Genomic DNA, 7,940 nt, shown 5'->3' with positions numbered 1-7,940 from the left:
AATAAATAAAAAGGAAATATCCAGATACAATCTAAGCCTAAAATACTTTGTTAGACTTTAGGCATTCCAGTACCAATAATTTGAAGAAAAATTGGAGCTAGGCCAGGAGAAACAATTGTGATGATTAAGAGAAGGAAAGGATTAAGTTATAAGTAAAGATTTAAGTAGACAAATATATAGCTTGGCAAGTAATGACTACGGAGTATACTATAAGGTTCTACAAATATTTGAAAGTTAAAAAGGTGATAGTGGAATTATTTAAAATGATATAAAAGAGTAAGTTACCAGGAGTAATTTAGGCAGAAGAACTCTTTGACATTGAAAATCATTAGTTTTTGGAAAACTCTTCTAATAGGGAGTTAAAAGTACCTATTGTTTCTGAGAATTTGAAACTAGAGAGAAAATGATTCTTGATTGTGAGTAGTTGTTTTCAGGCAAGTGGAAAGACCGATCCTGTCATTTGACTCCCCATCTATTTCCATGAACAGAAAAGTCAAAGATATTAAATCTAAGATGGGCGAATGTAGTGTCTGCCAATTATTCAAGAGCTCATGTTAATCACGAGTGCCCCATAACATTTTTAGATTGTGCTACATAATTAATATCTGCATTATATACTGACTTCAGCAGTTTGTTATCTTTTATTTTGGAGAAAATGGTTGGCTTAAGGCTTTATATTTTCATTCCAAACAGAGGTTACCAGTGTTGGATCTTAACACTGGTTGATCCCATTAGGATCTCAATATATACTTCATTAAGTGGAAAGCTATATTGGCTTTCCAAGCAGTGTGTTTATATTTGAATTGATTCCAGAAAAAATTTGAGGTGCTTACTTGTTTCCACTTCTGATTTGGAATATTTTGTTGCATGTATAAAAAGACTTTCCCCCTGTTCTATGTTTGTCATCAGCTGGTTGCCAAGTAAAAACGTCTGTCTCAGTCATTCCATCCTTTCGATTCCTATTTCCACTGTTTCCATTTAGTCCCTTATCATTTCCCATGCAAGAGCTAACACTCTATTTCACTGTGTTGTTTTCTTTCTTCTATGCCTCTACTGCCTTGCTGCCAGAGACATCTTTCTTAGTGTCTTTTGTTGGCTCAAAAATATTCAGTGGATCACCAATTGCCAACTGGACAAAGTTTAAATTGGTTCATTTGAGTGCTTTCAGGATCTGTCCTCAACTTACTTTCTCAGGCCCATCTCCAGCTACTTCCAGCGCTTCCGGTCCCCCCGAGGGCCACACAGCCTTTCTCACACCTCTGCTCGTGCTGTTTATTTGGCCTAAATCCTTCTCATCTTCCATGGCCCCATGCAGATGTCACTTTCTCTCGGAAGCTTTTCTTGAATGCTTCAGGTGAGATTAATTATTCAATTCTTTATATTTCTTGTAGCATTTATGTCACATATCTAGATCAAATTAGTTGTGTGTTTTCTTTTTTTTTTTTTTCCCATGAAAGTACAATTGCCTTGAGGACAAAATCTGGATCTCATTCAACATACACAGTCCTGAACATATGGCCTTGTACATAGGTCTCAACTATAGTAGGTCCTCAATAAGCTTTTATAGAATGAATGAAAAGACAGAATGGTTATCATCTTCATGGGGAAGAAATTCCAGAAGCAAACAACATGGCAGAACAGTTGTGTTTTTCCAACTATTCTGTATTTTCCTGAGCTGTCTAATAGAGCAAGGTATAATACAAAATTTTTCTTCGAATAACTTAGGTTTCCTTAGAATGTTTCCAGATTTGACCTAATTCAAGCAACACGAGGATGTAATATCCGTTTCCATCCTCTGCCACCCTGATTCCTTAGCCATGTGCTTTTCTTTTCAACTATTATCACCACTAGACACATTACATATTATTATTACTTGTTAATTATTTTCTTTTTTTTTTTGAAATTGAAAAGTAGTAATTTTATTTGATATTTTTGTTAGATAACAAAAGAAACTAAAATACTAATAGTCTGTTTAATAGTCTGTTTTTTAATATTATTATTATACTTTAAGTTTTAGGGTACATGTGCACAATGTGCAGGTTAGTTACATATGTATACATGCGCCATGCTGGTGCGCTGCACCCACTAACTCGTCATCTAGCATTAGGTATATCTCCCAATGCTATCCCTCCCCCCTCCCCCCACCCCACAACAGTCCCCAGAGTGTGATGTTCCCCTTCCTGTGTCCATGTGTTCTCATTGTTCAATTCCCACCTATGAGTGAGAATATGCGGTGTTTGGTTTTTTGTTCTTGTGATAGTTTACTGAGAATGATGATTTCCAATTTCATCCATGTCCCTACAAAGGACATAAACTCATCCTTTTTTATGGCTGCATAGTATTCCGTGGTGTATATGTGCCATATTTTCTTAATCCAGTCTATCATTGTTGGACATTTGGGTTGGTTCCAAGTCTTTGCTGTTGTGAATAATGCTGCAATAAACATACGTGTGCATGTGTCTTTATAGCAGCATGATTTATAGTCCTTTGAGTATACACCCAGTAATGGGATGGCTGGGTCAAATGGTATTTCTAGTTCTAGATCCCTGAGGAATCGCCACACTGACTTCCACAATGGTTGAACTAGTTTACAGTCCCACCAACAGTGTAAAAGTGTTCCTATTTCTCCACATCCTCTCCAGCACCTGTTGTTTCCTGACCTTTTAATGATTGCCATTCTAACTGGTGTGAGATGGTATCTCATTGTGGTTTTGATTTGCATTTCTCTGATGGCCAGTGATGGTGAGCATTTTCTCATGTGTTTTTTGGCTGCATAAATGGCTTCTTTTGAGAAGTGTCTATTCATGTCCTTCGCCCACTTTTTGATGGGGTTGTTTGTTTTTTTCTTGTAAATTTGTTTGAGTTCATTGTAGATTCTGGATATTAGCCCTTTGTCAGATGAGTAGGTTGTGAAAATTTTCTCCCATTTTGTGGGTTGCCTGTTCACTCTGATGGTAGTTTCTTTTGCTGTGCAGAAGCTCTTTAGTTTAATTAGATCCCATTTGTCAATTTTGGCTTTTGTTGCCATTGCTTTTGGTGTTTTAGACATGAAGTCCTTGCCCATGCCTATGTCCTGAATGGTAATGCCTAGGTTTTCTTCTAGGGTTTTTATGGTTTTAGGTCTAACGTTTAAGTCTTTAATCCATCTTGAATTGATTTTTGTATAAGGTGTAAGGAAGGGATCCAGTTTCAGCTTTCTACATATGGCTAGCCAGTTTTCCCAGCACCATTTATTAAATAGGGAATCCTTTCCCCATTGCTTGGTTTTCTCGGATTTGTCAAAGATCAGATAGTTGTAGATATGTGGCATTATTTCTGAGGGCTCTGTTCTGTTCTATTGATCTATATCTCTGTTTTGGTAACAGTACCATGCTGTTTTGGTTACCGTAGCCTTGTAGTATAGTTTGAAGTCAGGTAGTGTGATGCCTCCAGCTTTGTTCTTTTGGCTTAGGATTGACTTGGCGATGCGGGCTCTTTTTTGGTTCCATATGAACTTTAAAGTAGTTTTTTCCAATTTTGTGAAGAAAGTCATTGGTAGCTTGATGGGGATGGCACTGAATTTGTAAATTACCTTGGGCAGTATGGCCATTTTCACGATATTGATTCTTCCTACTCATGAGCATGGAATGTTCTTCCATTTGTTTGTATCCTCTTTTATTTCCTTGAGCAGTGGTTTGTAGTTCTCCTTGAAGAGGTCCTTACATCCCTTGTAAGTTGGATTCCTAGGTATTTTATTCTCTTTGAAGCAATTGTGAATGGGAGTTCACTCATGATTTGGCTCTCTGTTTGTCTGTTGTTGGTGTATAAGAATGCTTGTGATTTTTCTACATTGATTTTGTATCCTGAGACTTTGCTGAGGTTGCTTATCAGCTTAAGGAGATTTTGGGCTGAGACAATGGGGTTTTCTAGATATACAATCATGTCATCTGCAAACAGGGATAATTTGACTTCCTCTTTTCCTAATTGAATACCCTTTATTTCCTTCTCCTGCCTAATTGCCCTGGCGAGAACTTCCAACACTATGTTGAATAGGAGTGGTGAGAGAGGGCATCCCTGTCTTGTGCCAGTTTTCAAAGGGAATGCTTTCAGTTTTTGCCCATTCAGTATGATATTGGCTGTGGATTTTTCATAGATAGCTCTTATTATTTTGAAATACGTCCCATCAATACCTAATTTATTGAGAGTTTTTAGCATGAAGGGTTGTTGAATTTTGTCAAAGGCCTTTTCTGCATCTATTGAGATAATCATGTGGTTTTTGTCTTTGGTTCTGTTTATATGCTGGATTACATTTATTGATTTGCATATATTGAACCAGCCTTGCATCCCAGGGATGAAGCCCACTTGATCATGGTGGATAAGCTTTTTGATGTGCTGCTGGATTCGGTTTGCCAGTATTTTATTGAGGATTTTTGCATCAATGTTCATCAAGGATATTGGTCTAAAATTCTTTTTTTTGGTTGTGTCTCTGCCCGGCTTTGGTATCAGGATGATGCTGGCCTCATAAAATGAGTTAGGGAGGATTCCCTCTTTTTCTATTGATTGGAATAGTTTCAGAAGGAATGGTACCAGCTCCTCCTTGTACCTCTGGTAGAATTCGGCTGTGAATCCATCTGGTCCTGGACTCTTTTTGGTTGGTAAGCTATTGATTATTGCCACAATTTCAGATCCTGTTATTGGTCTATTCAGAGATTCAACTTCTTCCTGGTTTAGTCTTGGGAGAGTGTATGTGTCGAGGAATTTATCCATTTCTTCTAGATTTTCTAGTTTATTTGCGTAGAGGTGTTTGTAGTATTCTCTGATGGTAGTTTGTATTTCTGTGGGATCGGTGGTGATATCCCCTTTATCATTTTTTATTGCGTCTATTTGACTCTTCTCTCTTTTTTTCTTTATTAGTCTTGCTAGCGGTCTGTCAATTTTGTTGATCCTTTCAAAAAACCAGCTCCTGGATTCATTAATTTTTTGAAGGGTTTTTTTGTGTCTCTATTTCCTTCAGTTCTGCTCTGATTTTAGTTATTTCTTGCCTTCTGCTAGCTTTTGAATGTGTTTGCTCTTGCTTTTCTAGTTCTTTTAATTGTGATGTTAGGGTGTTAATTTTGGATCTTTCCTGCTTTCTCTTGTGGGCATTTAGTGCTATAAATTTCCCTCTACACACTGCTTTGAATGTGTCCCAGAGATTCTGGTATGTTGTGTCTTTGTTCTCGTTGGTTTCAAAGAACATCTTTATTTCTGCCTTCATTTCGTTATGTACCCAGTAGTCATTCAGGAGCAGGTTGTTCAGTTTCCATGTAGTTGAGCGGTTTTGAGTGAGATTCTTAATCCTGAGTTATAGTTTGATTGCACTGTGGTCTGAGAGATAGTTTGTTATAATTTCTGTTCTTTTACATTTGCTGAGGAGAGCTTTACTTCCAAGTATGTGGTCAGTTTTGGAATAGGTGTGCTGTGGTGCTGAAAAAAATGTATATTCTGTTGATTTGGGGTAGAGAGTTCTGTAGATGTCTGTTAGGTCTGCTTGGTGCAGAGCTGAGTTCAATTCCTGGGTATCCTTGTTGACTTTCTGTCTCGTTGATCTGTCTAATGTTGACAGTGGGGTGTTAAAGTCTCCCATTATTAATGTGTGGGAGTCTAAGTCTCTTTGTAGGTCACTCAGGACTTGCTTTATGAATCTTGGTGCTCCTGTATTGGGTGCATATATATTTAGGATAGTTAGCTCTTCTTGTTGAATTGATCCCTTTACCATTATGTAATGGCCTTCTTTGTCTCTTTTGATCTTTGTTGGTTTAAAGTCTGTTTTATCAGAGACTAGGAGTGCAACCCCTGCCTTTTTTTGTTTTCCATTTGCTTGGTAGATCTTCCTCCATCCTTTTATTTTGAGTCTATGTGTGTCTCTGCACGTGAGATGGGTTTCCTGAATACATCACACTGATGGGTCTTGACTCTTTATCCAATTTGCCAGTCTGTGTCTTTTAATTGGAGCATTTAGTCCATTTACATTTAAAGTTAATATTGTTATGTGTGAATTTGATCCTGTCATTATGACGTTAGCTGGTTATTTTGCTCATTAGTTGATGCAGTTTCTTCCTAGTCTCAATGGTCTTTACATTTTGGCATGATTTTGCAGCAGCTGGTATCGGTTTTTCCTTTCCATGTTTAGTGCTTCCTTCAGGAGCTCTTTTAGGGCAGGCCTGGTGGTGAGAAAATCTCTCAGGATTTGCTTGTCTGTAAAGGATTTTATTTCTCCTTTGCTTACAAAGCTTAGTTTGGCTGGATATGAAATTCTGGGTTGAAAATTCTGTTTTTTAAGAATGTTGAATATTGGCCCCGACCCTCTTCTGGCTTGTAGAGTTTCTGCCGAGAGATCCGCTGTTAGTCTGATAGGCTTCCCTTTGAGGGTAACCCGACCTTTCTCTCTGGCTGCCCTTAACATTTTTTCCTTCATTTCAACTTTGGTGAATCTGACAATTATGTGTCTTGGTGTTGCTCTTCTCGAGGAGTATCTCTGTGGCATTCTCTGTATTTCCTGAATGTGAATGTTGGCCTGCCTTGCTAGACTGGGGAAGTTCTCCTGGATAATCTACTGCAGAGTGTTTTCCAACTTGGTTCCATTCTCCCCGTCCCTTTCAGGTACACCAATCAGACGTAGATTTGGTCTTTTCACATAGTCCCATATTTCTTGGAGGCTTTGCTCATTTCTTTTTATTCTTTTTTCTCTAAACTTCCCTTCTCACTTCATTTCATTCATTTCATCTTCCATCGCTGATACCCTTTCTTCCAGTTGATCACATCGGCTCCTGAGGCTTTTGCATTCTTCACGTAGTTCTCGAGCCTTGGTTTTCAGCTCCATCAGCTCCTTTAAGCTCTTCTCTATATTGGTTATTCTAGTTCTACATTTTTCTAAATTTTTTTCGAAGTTTTCAACTTCTTTGCCTTTGGTTTGAATGTCCTCCTGTGGCTCGGAGTAATTTGATCGTCTGAAGCCTTCTTCTCTCAGCTCGTCAAAGTCATTCTCCGTCCAGCTTTGTTCCGTTGCTGGTGAGGAACTGCGTTCCTTTGGAGGAGGAGAGGCGCTCTGCTTTTTAGAGTTTCCAGTTTTTCTGCTGTTTTTTTCCCCATCTTTGTGGTTTTATCTACTTTTGGTCTTTGATCATGGTGATGTACAGATGGGTTTTTGGTGTGGATGTCCTTTCTGTTTGTTAGTTTTCCTTCTAACAGACAGGACCCTCAGCTGCAGGTCTGTTGGAGTACCCAGCCATGTGAGGTGTCAGTCTGCCCCTGCTGGGGGGTGCCTCCCAGTTAGGCTGCTCGGGGGTCAGGGGTCAGGGACCCACTTGAGGAGGCAGTCTGCCCGTTCTCAGATCTCCAGCTGCGTACTGGGAGAACCACTGCTCTCTTCAAAGCTGTCAGACAGGGACATTTAAGTCTGCAGAGGTTACTGCTGTCTTTTTGTTTGTCTGTGCCCTGCCCCCAGAGGTGGAGCCTACAGAGGCAGGCAGGCCTCCTTGAGATGTGGTGGGCTTCACCCAGTTCGAGCTTCCTGGCTGCTTTGTTTACCTAGGCAAGCCTGGGCAATGGCGGGCGCCCCTCCCCCAGCCTCGCTGCCGCTGCTGCCTTGCAGTTTGATCTCAGACTGCTGTGCTAGCAATCAGCGAGACTCCGTGGGCGTAGGACCCTCCGAGCCAGGTACGGGATATAATCTCGTAGTGTGCCGTTTTTTAAGCCCATCGGAAAAGCGCAGTGTTCGGGTGGGAGTGACCCGATTTTCCAGGTGCCGTCTGTCACCCCTTTCTTTGACTAGGAAAGGGAACTCCCTGACCCCTTGCGCTTCCCGAGTGAGGCAATGCCTCGCCCTGCTTCGGCTGGCGCTTGGTGCGCTGCACCCACTGACCTGCGCCCACTGTCTGGCACTCTGTAGTGAGATGAACCCGGTACCTCAGATGGAAATG

The 7,940-nt window shown here is 40.1% G+C and overlaps 1 annotated feature.

The window, feature by feature from the left end:
• Positions 7,136 to 7,707: an enhancer, noted in NCBI's record as "H3K27ac-H3K4me1 hESC enhancer chr13:73184702-73185273 (GRCh37/hg19 assembly coordinates)". NCBI's record gives its function as "activates a minimal SCP1, AML or CMV promoter by ChIP-STARR-seq in naive H9 embryonic stem cells {active_cell/tissue: H9 hESC(naive)}" and the evidence as "EXISTENCE:reporter gene assay evidence [ECO:0000049][PMID:30033119]".

Source organism: Homo sapiens, chromosome 13, assembly GCF_000001405.40.
Source record: "Homo sapiens chromosome 13, GRCh38.p14 Primary Assembly".
Lineage (NCBI taxonomy): Eukaryota > Metazoa > Chordata > Mammalia > Primates > Hominidae > Homo > Homo sapiens.
The sequence above is the reverse complement of the archived record's forward strand: the minus strand, read 5'-3'. Positions and strand labels throughout refer to the sequence as shown.